This window comes from Homo sapiens, chromosome 11 (assembly GCF_000001405.40).
Source record: "Homo sapiens chromosome 11, GRCh38.p14 Primary Assembly".
In the NCBI taxonomy this organism is placed as follows: domain Eukaryota; kingdom Metazoa; phylum Chordata; class Mammalia; order Primates; family Hominidae; genus Homo; species Homo sapiens.
Genome location: NC_000011.10, coordinates 94,016,321 through 94,033,880, shown reverse-complemented (window position 1 = coordinate 94,033,880; position 17,560 = coordinate 94,016,321). Strand labels below are relative to the sequence as shown.

Sequence of the window (17,560 nt, the reverse complement as noted above, 5' to 3'; positions counted from 1 at the left end):
CCAAAGCGTGTTACAGTGAGATATGCACATCTCTGGTTTGTGAGCTCATTGAAGACAATACCCCTTTAAACATCCTTTTTATTCCTAAGCCCCAGCAACTCGCCTGGAAGAGTTGGTGTTTAATGGCTTTGGCACTTAAAAACAAACAAACAAGTGTGAGTTTGTCCCCATATTGGCAAGCTAAAGCTGGGATGGTGTTGCAAACTCTATTTGCTGAAAAGCATAGGTTACCATATTTGAATACCCTCTAGGTCCAGGACAGCCAATAGATTTTATCTTGTGCACCAAATCTAATTGGTGGTAATTGCTTAGAAAAGAAGTCAAGGTTGAGTTCAATGAGAGAAGAACACCATGATCCACACTAGATGTCCGCTGTGGATATGAGGGTGGGGGCACTCCAAGCACATAGTTGCTCTTCTTACCCTACACAAATGGCCAGGCCACACAGTGCTCCAGAGTCTTCGGGTCCTCTCTACACCTGGATGACATCATATCTTACTACTGGGAGAAAACACACTTGAGTTGTTTAGATCTGAGACCCAGCTGCTCTCAGAAATTCAACATATGACCTTGTTACCAGCAGCAAATTCATATGGGCCTGCAGCAACCTCAATCCCTGCCTCCTCAGAAGAAAGAATTCAATTCAACTAAGGGGCATAAGGCAAAAGGAGAGACTGAGGCAAGTTTTAGAGCAGGAATGAAAGTTTATTAAAAAGCTTTAGAGTAGGAACAAAAGGAAGGAAAGCACCCTTGGAAGAGGGCCAAGCGGGCGACTTGAAAAACAAGTGCGCAGTTTGACCTTTTGACTTGGGGTTTTATACATTGGCATACTTCTGGGCTCTTGTGTCACTTCTCCCCTGATTCTTCCCTTGGCATGGGTTGTCCATATGTGCAGTGGCCTCCTAGCACTTGGGAGATGAGCAGGTGCGGTGTGTTTACTGGAGCTGTACGCATGCTCACGTGAGGCATTCTTCCCTTACCAGTGGAATGTCCCTGGAAGGTCATATACCAGTTAAACTCCGCCGTTTTGCCCCTCAATGCACTTGCTTGAGCCCATTTGCCCAACTCCTGAGATCTTATCAGGAAGCTGCTGATCACCAGTTTCAGGTTTTTTCTATCTATAGGGAGACTGCCTTTCCCTGGCACTGACTGTGACCAATTATTACTTTAGAGAGACAGTTAACAACCGCCTGACCATCACCTGGTGGTTACCTGACATTCCTGGTCAGGCGGACCCCTCTCCTGCCCTGCTCATGCCTGACTAGCTACCTACTATAACAACCTTATAGGCTTCAGTTTGCTGGGTATGCCTCCCAAAGACTGTTGGGACCTGCTAACAAATGGGGTTTACAGCCACCTTGACATTTTCTAATTTGTAAACTGAAGCTTACAGCATAGCAAAATTAAAAAGAAAATAATTTAAAGAGAGCGCAGCAAGGTTTAAAAGTCAAGCTAAAAAGTGATTATCACTCCCGCTGTCTAGCCAGCTGAGGTATCCAGCCTGCCCCAGACCACGTAATAAAATCATAAGCCAGGTCAAACCCACCAGCAACAAAGCCTCTTTTAAATGAAGCAGGCCTTGGCCTCGGAGGCTGGAGAATCCCCCACGGTTTTCAGCTGAGCCAGATTAAGGGGTAGAGCAGCTGGGTCTCAGATCTAAAGGCCACTGGAACATCACTGGGGAGCTGGAAGCATTTCAGGGTGGATAAAATTCACTGGAAATGACATTGAAGTTGGAGAAAATTGCAACCTGTGGAACTTCTGTGGGGTAAGCACTGTATGTCATTGGAAAGGAGGCTTTGATTAGCTGTTTGAGATGGGGTTTGGGAGGTGAGTGAAGAGACCCCAAAGGTTATGCTCGAATACTAACAGGTGGCCACAAAAATCTATTCCAAGGAGAATTGGTGCAGTGAACTGTAGAGTAGACTGCTTTTGGCTTGCAGCCAAAGGGAGGTAAGAATGGCCATCACCAGACCACTTTCTCCTCTCCTCAGTACTCAGCCTCTCCTATAGATGAAGGAGATCCGTGCTATTTATCTGCCCAGAGCATCTGATTATTAACCTTCCCAGGGTTAACCCTATCCCACCCTTGAGGTGGAGTCCGTGGTAGGGAGGAGGTCCTGGGACAAGAAGGAACCCATGGGTTTAGACCCCCGATGGAGAAGCCAGAGATGGGCCTGACTAGAGAAGAACCCCAGGAATCACAGGACAAGACCTCCCAGAGGCAGCAATGTTCTCTGTCCCCCAATTACTAGGTTCAGCTTCCAATCCAAACAATGTGATCAAGAGAGGAATCCTGTTTAAAAAATTAGAGAATGATTTTGATAGCAAAAGCCTGGAAAGACCAAAATGTTCTTCAACTGGCAGCTGGGTAAATAAATGATGGCATTCATGCCACATACCCATAAGAAAAGAATAAGGTGGTCTACAGGTGCTGATATGGCGTGATCACCAAGATACTAATAAAAAAAAAGCAAATTGCAGAGCCGTATGTAAAGTATTATCCCATTTGTGTGTGTGTGTGTGTGTGTGTGTGTGTGTGTGTGTGTAACAATGCACATTTACCCATATGCAAAGAATACATCTGGAAAGTGACCAGGGAAACAAAGTGTAGCCTCCAGACTATGAGACTGAAGCCACAGGTGGGAGGGAGGACGGAGGAGAAGTTTACTTTCACTCATCCTCTTTTATACTGTTGTAGGGGGAGGGGCGGTTACTCTGTACCTACAAATTCAATACTAAAAACAAGCTCACGTTTTATTGAAAAAAAAAGAAGACCCATGCTGTTTGGCCTCCAAGGGGCCAAAATTCTCTTGCATGCCTTCTATTTCTAAAAACAAAGCTGCCACAACAAAGGGTGTTGTTGGATTGAGTTCTGCTCTGCAAGGGGATTGGCCTCTGGAGCAGAGAGCATGGCATCTGCTCACTATCCCTGCTCAACCTCTGGCTTGCCAACTCTCCTCTCAGGCATTGAGGCTGAAGTCTTGGGACTGTGTATGAACATTCTGGGTCTCTTGTATCCAAGCATCCACTAAGCCTGCATGTGTCTACCCAGGAGCAAGAGTTAGCCCTCTCCCACTCTATAAGGCAAAGACTTACATTTCCCTGTGCAAGAGAATGGGATATAAAAGTTGGGATGCCTGACCCCTGGACCTTTATAATAGAGGCTGTTACATTTCTCAGACTTGCTTGCAACTTGGAATAGTCATGTGACATAATTCTAGCCAATCAGATGTAAGCAGAAGTCACTCAATGATACTTCTCCAGGTGTAGCTGGAAGACACCATTTTTCTCCTCTTCTCTTCCCTTTATTCATGCCTGAAATGTAGACATGATGACTGGAGCTCCAGCAGCCATCTTGAGATAACGAGGAAGAGGGTCACACCCTAGGAATGGTCAAGTGAGAGCCAAAAGGAACCTGGGACCCAGATGATTGCCAACCTCTGGCTCTCTTTTATGTAAGCAATAATAATAAATCTTTAATCGATTTAAACCACTTCTGTTTTTCAGGATTCTGTTAAAGAGTAGCTGAATACAACTCCTGATTGAACAGGCTGTGCAAAAGGAGAAGGAAGAGGAAGAGGCAGAGGAAGAACTGAGTCATCCCCAAGCTTGCTAATAAGCCTCAGAGTTGCCCAGTTTTATAGCTGACAATGGGTCACCCAGTAAGGTGGCACAGCAAGGATTAGATTCAGAATCCCTGGTATGCTCTCTGGGTTCAGCCTGATGGGTAAAAACTATAATACAAAACTATTATTCATAGGACCTTATCATTCCAACAGGCCCTATAGGGAAGGATGGACATTGGACTCTACTTCTCTACCCTGTTCTCCCACTGCACACATGAAGACACAAAAGTATACACACATGCAGATGCATGTGGAGCACACATGCTCACATCTTCACATATGTACTCCTGCTTTTAATCTGCTAAGAGGTCCTGACCCCACCTCTGCCCAAGACCTTTCTCCATCACCTCCACAAGACCAGGTCTTACCATGAGTTGTCTGGCAAAGGCACTAAATAAGAGGCAAAATAAGTATCAGGAGGGGCAGTGAAGTGTTTGCTGAGTCCCTGTAGGGACTGGAGCACTTATGGTATGCTTCATATTTTGGCACTGAGTTATACATTGACTGTTTTTCATATTCCTGGACACATATCAGTCTTATCACCTATACAGCCAATAGTCACCCCAAGGGGGGATTGGGTTTTCTAAAGCAGTGGTTCCCAAATGTCCACCCATGTACCACTTGCATCAGAATCATTTGGAACATTTGCCAAATTTTTATTCTCAGGCCCCACTTCAGGGCAATGGAATCAGACTTTCTACTGGCAAGACCATGGTATCTGTATTTTTTCCTAAGATCACCAAATGATTCCTGTAGTAGAGCTTTTTAGGGCTTGCGTATTCTAATTTTTCTTTCCTCCTAACCAAAGAAGACCACAGTGATTCTGCTTTTGCAAGTTAGATGGGCCATAGTGTTCTGGCAAATTGGCTGTGAGTGGAAATGCCACGTGTCACTTCTGGGTGGGGGCATTTAATTATTATTGCAAGACCCTCTCTTCCTCTGCTGCAGGAGGAGCCTCCTGCTCAGACAGTGAAGAGAACCCATAGCTTCCTCCTTGTCCCAGGACTTCTTCCCCTGCACTGACTCCACATCAAGAGTAGGACAGGGTTGACCCATGAAGGTGCCCTAGGAAGATACTTCACACAAAACAAAAACTATAGTAACTATTTGATAAAAATTTGTTGAGGCTGGGTGTGGTGGCTCATGCCTAATCCCAGCATTTTGGGAGGCCAAGGTGGGAGGATCACTTGAGGCTAGGAGTTTAAGACTAGCCTGGGCAATACAGTGAGATCCTATACTTTTTTAACTAATAGGAAAAAAAGCTTGAAAGTAAAAAAAGAAGTGGGAAGGGATAGAAATAAGAGAAAGTAGTTTGTTTTAGTGTCTACACAGCAAACCACCCATTGAGAACATATTATGCATTTGTAATAGTAGAACAGAAACTCCAGCTCCTTTGAGTTCTATAAAATGCAAATTTGCCCAAGAAACAAAGTAAGGAAGTAACTTCAAGGGAGCCATCCCCATGAAGCAACCTCCAATTTAAATGGAGTATATTTGTTAGAATGTTGCATTGGTGAGCCATCTGTTGTTTATCACGTAGCCATGGCGAGGGGCTGAGCAATCACTATTCCTCAAGAACATTTTCAATCTGCATTCTAACATCTTGACTCAAGCTAAGGAGGTGTCTACTTCCTGCTGCAAAAGAATCCAGTGGGGCCAGGAAGGTTAACATTAACAACTGCCTTAAAGACAAGATGGGGACTTGGAACATTACATTGCCAGTGCCTGGGGCCAATCCTGTGGATGGAGATATCTTCCAAAAGCAGAGGAGATTAATCATTATCAGAACAAACCTGCCCTTGGGAATCCCCTACACAGTACAGAGTTGGACTTCCAGGTTAGATTCTCAGGAGTTCGTAGCTTGCAGGGATATAAACCACCCAGCAATCCCATGACCTCTGCATCTTTTAGAGGGATGTTTTCTGATAGCTTCCTTGGAGCAATTGCTGATCATCTACTATGTCTGGGACATAAAACTAGAAACTGGGGCCAAGATGTATTAATCTCAGTCCCTGCATGCAAGAGTTTTACCATCTAGTTGGGAAGCAAAACATGCATTTGACAGTAAACACAGTTTTACAATGTTAACTGCCAACTCTACTGTCCAGAGCCCACATGTCTGTGTAGAGGGCAGGGAAATATAAGATGAAGATAAACTGCAAAATAATGTTAGCAGAGAGTGTGGTCAGATCCAACATGTGAGATCATAAGAGTCACAATAAGGACAAGAAATATTGTTTGAGCTTGAGAAGGAACGTTCTTCACCAAGGAGAAAAAAAGATGAGATTGAGACAAATGTCACTTGGAAAAAGGAAGGGTGGAGACGGAGATTGCACATTCAGTTTGGTGAAGCTGCACCCTCCCTATTAGATTAATAATTTTTAATACCATCTGGATGTGCTTCTATATACATTCTTTCACTCTGGGTCCCTGGCACCACCTATGTCTTGGGTCCTTCCTTTTCACTCTTCATTTCCACAGAAGCCCTTCATATACAAGGTGTGTTCAAAACAAATGGCATGATGAGGGGGAATGAAAATGAGCTTGAATCCCAACTCTCTCACTTGCTGGTTGTGAAATGGGGAAGAGACTTAACCTCTCTGAACCAGTTTCCTCTGCTGTAAAGCAGTGACCATGGTAGAGCTATCATAAGGATTCAATGAGAAGAGGTGTAGAGCCACACACACAGCAACTGGGAGAGTGGTGCTGAATCAATGACAGTTATGATTATTTCTGGTAAAGCGTAAAGCTTTGTTAGAAAAGAGGAAAATGTGACCAGCCAAGGTCTTTCCCCCAGGGCTCCTGCTCTCCAAAGAACCCCGTGAGACGGCAGAGCTACCACGAGAGCTGATCAAGTGCTCTCAAGTGGCAGGCACTGTGTCTGAGTATGTGCAGATCCTAAGTCCCAAAGATAACTCCGCAGTCCTCATCCACAGAAACTTATTGGAAAAATGGGTCTTTGCAGATGTGATTAAGTTAAGGATCTTGAGATGGGGAGATCATCCTGGATTAGCTGGGTGGGCCCTAAACACCATCAAAAGCATCCTTATAAGTAAGAGGCAAAGATAGGCTAGACACACAGAGAGAAGACGACGATATGAAAATGGAGGCAGAGATCAGAGTGATGCAGCCACAGCCAAGGAATGCTGGCAGATACCAGAACCTGGAAGAGTCAAGGAATGGCCCCTCCCTTAGAACCTCCAGAGGCATTGTGGCCCTGACAACACATGCAGTTCAGACATCTGGCCTCCAAAACTGGGGGAGAATAAATTGCTGTTGTTTGAAGCCACCTAGTTTGTAACTTGTTACAGCAGCCACAGAAAACTGATACACCCTCAAAGCAAGTACTGTCACTATCCCTATTTTACTGATGAGAAAACTGAGGCAAAGAGAGATTGAATTACTTGCCCATAAAGTGGGGCAAGAATTCTAAATGTGACAGTTGATGCCAGAGCCCCATACTTTACCAGCAAACTGGACTGCCTTGGCATCTCCCTAAGACCAAGGCTGGGCTACACTTGGCTGGAGAAATCCTCCCGATGCCACCTGATCTCCCTCCCAGAGACAGAAGATTGGTCACCCCACTTCATGGTGTGCTAACCTTTTAAAGCAATGCCTGGAGCATAGTAAATACTCAGTGACACTTAGCTAACTTATTATACTGTCAATGAGTTATCTTTCAGATCCTGCTAACCAGGCCTTGGGGGTCCATCATATGGAGGTGGGAAAAGCAAGATGGGGACTAAGAGGATGCCTGTGAATCATGGAAAACAGGAGAGAACTGAGGTAGGGGAGGGGAGCAGGGACTGCCAGCTGCCTTGCAATATTCATGCTCCCCTTCTTTCTTAGTGTCAGAGGTAAATTCTATCTTTATTCAGGCAGAAAAGTACACAGCTGAAACGTTATATTTTTTCAAGTCCTCTTTGTGGCTATGAGTATCCAATGAGATTTAAGTAAAATTGGTTGGGTAGGGTTTCAATGAGAACCCTTTGAAAGGCTGATGCAGCAAAAATTGTTCTGCTTCTACCTTTTGCCTTTCTCTCTTTCTTCCTGGAATGTAGACACGATGGCTGGAGATCCAACAGCAATCTTGTGACCATGAATGTGCTTGAGGAGGGAAACCACAAAGGGTTTAAAGCACATAGGCTAAGGATGGTGGATCAGAAATACAGAAAGCCCCTGATATCTTGTTATACCATCTATCCCACCAGCCTTGGACTGCCCACTTCTGGATTCTTCTACAAATGAATACAAAATCCTAATTTGTTAAAGACATTATACTCCAGTCTCTAGTGGCAGCCAGAAACAATCACTTACTGATATAGGGTAGAACAGCAGTTCCCAGAGATTCATATGGCATCAGTCCAAACAAAATATTTTTGGTGCTGATAAGACAGAAGTTGAGATTTGAAAGTTACCATTTGTTTAGACCATGCACTTACCAGATGATATTCTTTTCTTTATTTCAAAGCTCACAAAAACCTCTGTCTCCTCCCTGCTTCCCCTCAGTTGGTCCTTCTTTCAGATAGATGTGTGAGTTCTCTCTCACACCTATCCTAGGGCCTGCTTCTTAGAATACTCAAAGCCCCTTGCCATACACTGGGCTGATGCAGTGATGTGGCTGGGTCAACTAACAGACTCTACAAAAATGGGGTTTGAGCAGTGGCTAGCCTCACTTATGTTCAAGCGCAGTTCCACCCATGAGTTAGCGTCCATGAAAACCCTGCATTTCACTGGGAAGAAAAAGGCTGAATGTGTGTTGATGGCCTAATGAGGTCTATGGTGAGAACTGTGGCTTTAAATAAGATGACCCCACCCTACTTCCATTAAGGATCAGGCTTTACCACCAAACACACACCTTAATTAAGGACTTTATGAGCCTGAGCAGGACTGGTATAAATAGATCAAAATACTGACACCATCCCCAGGCAACTCAAAGGAGCCCAGTGTCCCCATTTACTCCAAGGAGGAGGAGAAGTATATTTATCTGGAGAAAGTATTTCTAAATAGAATCTAACTCCTAAATCCTATACTTTCTAGGAAACATTAGTGATTATAGACTCAATTATATTTTTGAACCCTATAATCAAGCATAGGTACCAAGCATAAAAGTTAATTTGCACCATCTGAGGGCTATAGAGTCTCAGCAAAATGATTTCAATTCATTTTCGATCTCGTCCTTGTGCATAAGGATGTGCCTAACTTTGGTTTCCAAATGTTTTCACATTACTGAAACTTTGGCACCCACCATCTTGTTCCCCAGATTTTTGCCCATTCCCCTTATTCAAAGATAAAACAACCAGAACAACTCAGTTGATAAGGTGATTAGCTTTTACTTCAATGATTTTGAATGCCTGCCCTGTACTGGATCCTCCATAGGATATTGTCAATGACAAAGTTCCGTGCAGGGAAGGGGGATTATTGAATATACGCCAAAACTTCTTATCTATCATCAGGGTGTTTTACTGCAGTTGCAGACATGACTAATGTACATCAAGCAATTAGAGGGCAATGCAGAGGGAAGAAAATGCAGTGTCCAAGTTCATGATAAAGACCCCAAGCTCCATGAGTGGTTAGGAAGGAAACAGATCAGTACAAGCCAGGGTCATGGGGGAAAGCTTCATGTATGAAGTGAGGAATTGGAGATAATTCTTAAAGGACAGGGGAAAAAATGGAGAAAGAAAAATAAAGACTACTTCAAAAGTTGTCACATATGCCCACGATCAGTCCCAGGTCTTCTCCAACTCTAATTTCTAGGACTGAACATTTGCAAATCATCTCTCTCCTTTCTTTCACCATTGCAAAAATCTTTCTAGAACTGGCAAGTCAGGAAAGATATTTTTCATTCAGTTTCAAAATTATTTCTAATGCTTTGGCATTACACTTCTCAAGTGACTCTAGGGATTACATTTCAACTCCCTTCTTACACAAATTAAGGAAAGTGATATTCAGAGAGATTATATGACATGTTCAAGATTACACAGCAAGTTGGGCAGAGCAAGCATTAGAAGTTAGGTCTCTGGATTTCTATTTCAGGTTCTTTCCATTCATGGTGGAATTCTGAGCACCTGGCTCTCCTGGTCCTTTAAATATCAGACATTTGCCCAAGTGTGAATATCCAAAACAACAGACTGTCCTCAGAAAGGCAGCCTATTCACCCTCCAGGAGGCTGAGAGAGGGGCATGATTACATCATCCACGATGGCTCCTTCCTGCTCCTGGGGAAATGGCACAACACAGAGTACACACACTGAACTCCACTTATGTCCCAGTCACAGCATCTTCACATACACCCAGGATGGATATCTTGTGGTCCACAAGCAATGTCAGCCACCTACGACAGCCCTACCTTTTTAGGAACTTGTCTGAGCCACCTACCACAACTACTAGCACTGATGGGATCACTGATAAAAACCAGTATTCTGATGGGATCACTGATAAAAGCCAACGTCCACTGCATACTCACCTGGATTTCCCTTCCAAGAGGTAGCAGTCTGTCTGACACAAACTCTGTCCCTTCGCATACCAGAAAGAAATGTTTGGGGACCTTGGCGTTCTAGGTATGACACCTTAGCATGCCAGCTGCTTCTAAGAACAAACGCACTATCATATGGGACCATGCATTTTGAAACCATCTCACTCAAATCTGATGCCAAACCAACTGTTTTCATCATGCCTATTTTCTTTTTCACCATAGCAATTTTTATATGTTTTATTGTACTTTCATCAAAGCACCATCTTCTGGTTGAAATGATCAACAGAGACCCCAACTTCTTCCAGCACCCCACTTTGTGAAAACAGCATTGTAGTACTTGAGTATTTATGATTCTTTGAGGTTTTGAATTAACCCAGATAACTTGTTTGGTCACTGACCACCAGTGATCCCTTTCAATATGCTTCTAGGAAGAGTGACAAAAGAGACTAAACATGCCTTTGGCAAAAATTAGGACTTTCTAGAAAGTTCTTATTACTGTGATCCTTGGCTTCCCTCAAAGTTGTTTTAATTCACTGGAGAAGGATCACCTTTACCAAGAAACAGATTGTGTGGTGAAAAGAAATATGGGCTGTGGAACCAAAGCAATGAGTTTGGTGCTACCACTTACTTATAAACTCCGGCAAGTATTTAACCTCAGAGCCTTGGTTCCTGGTTCATAAAATGAGAATAATAATATCTGCAAGCAGTAATGAATTGAAAAATCCCTCATAGAATTTTTGGGTCAGAATAAATGCCCATACACAGCTATAGTGACGTGGGCATTTTAGGAAGAAGAATTTCTGTGGGTGTTAATCTTATGGAAAGGCAATCCAGTATCACATTTAGCTTAAACGCTATATTCATTACACTCAGTGTACACACTTTCAACATTCTTATCCCCAGTAGCTGCTCACATTGACTGTTTCCTACTGAGCCCTCTCTGAGAATAGCAGAGCTCTATTTGTAGAGAAGGCTCCTGGCATTTTTGGTACCCTTTCAATCCCATAGCTATTCATCACAGTAAAGACACTACCACCAATGGTCAGCAGATGTGGGATTGAAAGCAATCAAGAGTTTCCTTTGGAAATAGCCCTGCAGACATTACATTTCCAGGTACAAAGCTTAAGGAAAAGTCTGCCTTGGCAGCTTGTCTGGCACAGGCTTCATCTTTGGTAAACAAAACATGACTATACCACCTTTGTTTTGTTAGAAAACTTGGAAGCTGTATTTCCAAGCCAACTGGATCTTTGGTCTTTCCTCAAAGACAAGGGGCCCTGGCTCTTAAAGACTTGCTGGTAGGCCCTGTGCTGTTCCTGAATTTTATCAACTAAACTCATCTTTAGGAAATGGAACATGGATGCAGAATGCAACTGGTTCTGCCTGTCAGAAAAGAAGCAAGCATTCAAATATCCAACAGAGGTTGCCAAAACATCTGAAAAGATGTTCTAATAACCACAAAGTTGAAAATAGCATGACATCTTCTGGAGTCAGGAGGTGACTTCAGAGGGAGATCCATGAAACAAATTAGATGGTTAAGATACTAGGCCCTGGAGGGGGCAGGGAGAAAGGGTTATTTTCTGCCCCAAATTAAAAATCAGGAACATAGAACACCGTGGCGCCATCTCACCTAGCTATGCTATAGGTTCTGGGATAAGATATTGCCCTCAGCAAGAATGACTTGGAGCTGGAATAAACTTTTTACCAGTGAAAGCGCTAATTCTAAGTAGACTCAAGGAAACCCTGAAAATAGCAGGCAAATCTCCTGTGACTTCCCCCTCTTTTAAACGTTGAAAAACATGACTTAGCATACTTATCTCCCATTATGATGTTTCATTCCAGAAATACAAACTAAGAAAACACTGTGTTTTAACCATAAGGAATTCTTGAAATTTCTCAAATCTTCATCCCAAGTGTTGTCATTTAAAAACAAACAAACAAACAGAATCCCCCAGAAGTTACTAGTAGTACCTGGTGGAAATTGTCAAACACCTGGTTGTGTATATGTCCCTTCACAGGCAAGGCTATTAATAGGTGGCTCAACAAATACATGGAGCTATGAATATCTCTTCCAGATTACACACCCATCCATACTAGGGCTCTTCAAGCAAAAAACAAAACACCTTCTCTTGGTCTAGATCAACTCACCCCCATTGTAAGTACCCAAGAAATACAACCTTCCCCACACAAAGTCAAAAAGAGGCCAAACCTGGGAGTCAATGAGGACCCTAAGTTCACTCACTTGTCTTCTGTGAAACTTTTCCCAGTAATAACATTCTTCCCTTGGGGTACATAGTTCCAGTATTCTTCCACAATCCCAATGTAGTACGTTCTGGTAACTGTGCCAACCAGCCCAGACAGACCCAGGAATGTGAGGAGAAAGATGCAGCCAGCTGGCTGCTTCCGAGGCATTTGTGGATGTAACTCAAGCAGGCAGGCAGCCTGCACAGGGGACAAATCTGTTGGTCCCTCCCCCTCACTCAGCTCCTCCTCCTCAGGTAGCTTGGGTTTGGGGAAGAGGCAAAGGCTGAGGCCTTGCGTAAGCAAAGCAAGCTCGATGGGGGCGTTGCTTTGACAACAAAACTTTTGCCAGCCATCCGAGAAATGTGTGACTGGCTCATTTATGTATTGCCCAAGCCAACAGGCCTGTTTCTATACGTTTCGGTACCATGCTCTGACATCAGTCATTTGTCAGCCAGGATGACAGTGTGACTACTTGAGCCGATGGCTTTCCCCCACCCCTTCTTCTTCTTTTCTTCTCCACACCTCTTACATTAAAATCTGAAAAGTGAGCTGGCCTGAGTGGAGCATCAGGAAACACTCCAGGCACTAAAGAAGGCCTCCTCTCTGTCGGGAGGGCAGAGGAAGTGACATAATCACCATCCAGCTTGTTTTATGAGGCTATGTGAAACCACAAACTAACATCATAAAGTTCATCACAACAACATAAAACCCCACTAATCCTCCACTGGCTCGTGTACCATCTCCCCCATATTCTCTCAAATCCTTCCAGCAAAAATGAGAAGGTTGACTGCTCAGTTCAGCCAAAATGTTCGCGGCCACCACCTCCACACAGGGAGCCGCCTTTCTTAGGATGAATGAAAATGATGATGGGGAAGTACCCTTCAGACACATGGAGACAAAATTCAGTAACAGGTCTTTGGGTGGAAAAGGCTGGGCCATTCTTCTGTGTCTTCTAATCTGTGTCCCAGAATCTCGGTATTGAAAGAGACCTTGATCAACCTTGGAAAAGAGTTACTCTTATCCCCATGCACAGTTACTCTTGAGGGAGCAGCCATGGAATGAAGGAAACAGCCTCCTGGCCTTTGAAGTTGGTCAGACCTGGGTTTGAATGTGAGTTCCCACCACTTTCCAATTTAGTGGCATGGAGGAATCACTTAACATCATTGAGCTGGAGACTATAGAAGAAGGATTGAGGGATTCTTAAGGAACTTTTTAAAAGATGATGTCTGCAAAGTGCTTACCCCAGCCCCTAGCATAGGGTAGGTACTAAGTAAGTGTTAAAGTCCTTCCTGCCCATTCATGCCCTCTAAGAGAGACTGTATCAACCTGTGTATCCACAGACTTGTGTTTCCCCGCAGTCTTCAACTTTCTTTCCACTATTCTTTGCCAAAGTCCTATCTGCCATGCCTTCCACCAGTCTCAAGTAAGAGAATTCTTTTTCTTTAAATGGTAGCTACCCTATAAATGTCCCATAGCACAGTTTGTATTAGCATTCATCTTAATTAATAAAAGGCCAGGCACGGTGGCTCAGGTCTGTAATCCCAGCAATTTGGGAGGCCAAGGCAGTCAGATCACCTGTGGTCACGAGTTTGAGACCAGCCTGGCCAACATGGTGAAACCCTGTCTGTACTAAAAATACAAAAATTAGCCGGGCGTAGTGGCAGGCGCCTGTAATCCCAGTTACTTGGGAGGCTTAGGCAGAAGAATCGCTTGAACCTGGGAGGTGGAGGTTGCAGTGAGCCAAGATTGTGCCACTGCACTCCAGCCTGGGCAACAAGAGCAAGATTCCTTCTCAAAATAAGTAAATAAATAAATAAATAAATAATAAAATACATACTGAGTATCCTGTTTCATAGCCAGGCTCTTTACAACTTTGATTTACTGATTTGTTTGTTGTATCAAGGACACTGGTAGAATAATTGCCACAGCACATTTCCATTTAGCTAAAATCTCCTCTTCAACATGAGTTTGGGAGCTTCGTATGAGTCTGGCACTTCAACGGACACTATAGAGGAGGACTTACGTGGTAGGCCTGAGGTTGGCCTCAGAAGAAGTAGGGAGTTCAAAGTATGGGGAATCTGGCCAGGCGCAGTGGCTAATGCCTATAATCTCAGCACTTTGGGAGGCCGAGGTGGGTGGATCACCTGAGGTCAGGAGTTCGAGACCAGCCTGCCGAATATGGTGAAACCCTGTCTCTACTAAAAATACAAAAATAACCCGGGCATGTTGGTGCATGCCTGTAGTCCCAGCTACTAGGGAGGCTGGGGCAGGAGAATCTCTTGAACCCTGGAGGCAAAGGTTGCAGTGAGCCAAGATCTCACAACTGCACTCTAGCCTGGATGATAGAGCGAGACTCTGTCTCACAAAAAAAAAAAAAAAAAAAAAAAAAAAAAAAAAAAAGGTTGTGGAATTTGGAAATGTCCCAAACCAAATATCTTGTTGCTTACATCCCAGAGAAGCTGGCTATTTTGGGCGTATCAAAGACGTTATTAGGACATATTCCCCCCTTTTTGGACAGGAGAAAAAAAAAGGTATAAGTGATACAGCTCAAAAAGACAAAAGAGTTAACTTTCTTACCCAAGATACTGAACGCATATAATTAAAACCCAGGAGAAGGCATTACCTAACTTCTGATTCAAAAACTAGATCTGCAGAATAGATCAGGTCAAGAAATCTGAGTCACTATAGCAGATGAAGTCAACGCATTTAATCTATTTGTAGCAGAGAACTTGCTTACAGAGGGCCAAAAGTGGGAAAGAATTTATTAAAAACAATGAAATAGGGTTCTGGAAAGCTCTCTTAAATTCTTCCTTATCCTAGGACAATAAAGGTGTTACTCAAAGAGCATTGGAATGCCATAGGAGCTAAAGAAAATAAACTGGTATGAGACAATGCAGTGTTCCTGTGACACTCATTTCAGAAAAGCGACAGTTCCACGCCCAATGTGTTTGACAGTGTCTAAATTTTATTAGGAAACCTGTGAATTATCATATCAACACTCATTTTTAAAAACCCACAGTTACATACAAGATATGTTTGACAATGTTTAAAATTTGATTAAGTAACCTGTGTAAGTAATAATGTTAGCAAATACTTCCAACTCCATTGAACACTAGTCAGACATTTTTTTAAAGTCAAGAAACCCATTTATCAAGCATTTATTATGTGAGATGGCCAGTTCTAAATATTCACTCCATTCCTCAAAACATTCACCAGGTTTCAGATAAGGTAAATTTGACATCATGCATCAATAGCAGAGAAAGATAATGCTGGGTTAAATCACATTTTATTGAAATTATGGTACAGGCACACCTTGAAGATATTGCAGGTGTGGTTCCAGACCACCATGATAAAGTGAATATCAAAATAAAGCGAATCACATGGATTTTTTGGTTTTCCAGTGCGTATAAAACTTATGCTTAGGCCATGTACAGTGGCTCACACCTGTAATCCCAGCACTTTGGGAGGCCAAGGTGAGAGGATCACTTGAGGCCAGAAGTTTGAGACCAGCCTGGGCAACATGGCAAAACTTGTCACCATAAAAAATACAAAAAAATTAGCCAAGCATGGTGGGGTGCACCTATAGTCCCCGCTACTCAGGAGGCTGAGGTGGGGGGATCATTTGAGCCCAAGAGGTCGAGGCTGTAGTATGTTAAGATCATGCCACTGCACTCCAGCCTCACTGACAGAAGGAGACCCTATCTAAAAAAAAAAAAAAGTTATGTTTACACAATATTACAGTCTATAAGTGTGTGTGCAATTGCATTATGTCTAAAAAATGTACACACCTTAATTTAAAAATACCTTATTGTTTAAAAATGCTAACAATCACCTGAGTCTTCAGTGAGTCAGTCTTTTTGCTGTGGAGGGTCTTGCCTCAATGTGGATGGCTGCTGACTAATCAGGATGGTGGTCACTGAAGGTTGAGGTGGCTGTGGCAACTTCTTAAAATAAGAACAATAGTTTGACACATCATTTGGTTTCCTTTCATGAAAGATTACTCTATAACCCATGATGCTGTTTAATAGTATTTTACCAATAAAAGAACTTCTTTCAAAATTGGAATAAATTTTCCCAACCCTGCTCCTGCTTTATCAACTAAGTTTATGTAATATGCTGAATCCTTTGTTGTCATTTCTACAATATTCACAGCATCTTCACCAGTAAATTCCATTTCAAGAAACCACTTGCTTTGTTCATCCATAAGAAGCAACACCTTATTCATGTAAATTTTATTATGAGATTGCAACAATTCAGTCACATCTTCAGGCTCCACTTCTAATTGTAGTTCACTTGCTGCTTCCACCACATCTGCAGTTACTTCCTCCATTGAAGTCTTGAACCTCTCAAAGTCATCCATGAGGGTTTGAATCAGCTTCTTCCAAACTCCTGTCAATGTTGATATTTTGACCTTCTCTCATGAATCACAAATATTCTTAACAGCATTTAGAATGGTGAATTATTTCCAGAAGGTTTTCAATTTACTTTGCCCAGATTCATCAGAGGAATCACTATCTATGGCACCTATAGCCTCAAGAAAGGTATTTCTCAAGTAATAAGATTGAAATTCAGTTACTCCTTGATCTATGACATACGGAATGGATGTTGTGTTAGCAGACATGAAAACAACATTCATTTCATTATACATTTCCGTCAGAGCTCTTGGGTCACTAGGTGCGTTGTTAATGAGCAGTAATATTTTGAAAGAATTTTTTTTTCTTAGCAGTAAGTCTCAGCCCTGGACTTAAAATATTCAGTAAACCATGCTGCAAACAGATGTACTGTTGTCCAGACATTATTATTCCATCTAGGGAGTATAGACAGAGTAGACTGTGCATAATTCTTAAGGGTCCTGGGACATTTGGAATGGTAAATGAGCACTGGCTTCAACTTAAAGTCACCAGCTGCATTAGCATCTGCTAGGATAGTTAGCCTATCCTTGGGCCAGGCACAATGGCTCATGCCTGTAATCCCAGCACCTTGGGAGGCTGAGGTGGGAGGATCACTTGAGTGCAGGAGTTTGAGACCAGCCTGGGCAAGACGGCAAGACCCCATCTTGTAAAAACAAACAAAAACAAGAGTGAGCCTATCCTTTGAAGCTTTAAAGCCAGGCATCGACTTGTCCTCTTCTACTATAAGGATGTTTGGTCTACATTGAAAATTTATTGGCCTAGTGTGGTGGCTCATGCCTATAATCTCAGCACTTTCGGAAGCCA

The 17,560-nt window shown here is 43.0% G+C and overlaps 1 protein-coding gene across 1 annotated transcript in view; it reads right to left on the bottom strand.

Moving 5' to 3' along the window:
• HEPHL1 (hephaestin like 1) overlaps nt 1–12,527 on the bottom strand; it is a 92,855-nt gene extending 80,328 nt beyond the window's left edge. The window contains exon 1 of the mRNA NM_001098672.2: nt 12,343–12,527. Within this exon, the coding sequence (NP_001092142.1) occupies nt 12,343–12,512 (170 nt within the window). The 5' untranslated portion in view covers nt 12,513–12,527. The remainder of the gene's footprint in view (nt 1–12,342) is intronic.
• Between the last annotated feature and the right edge of the window lie 5,033 nt (nt 12,528–17,560).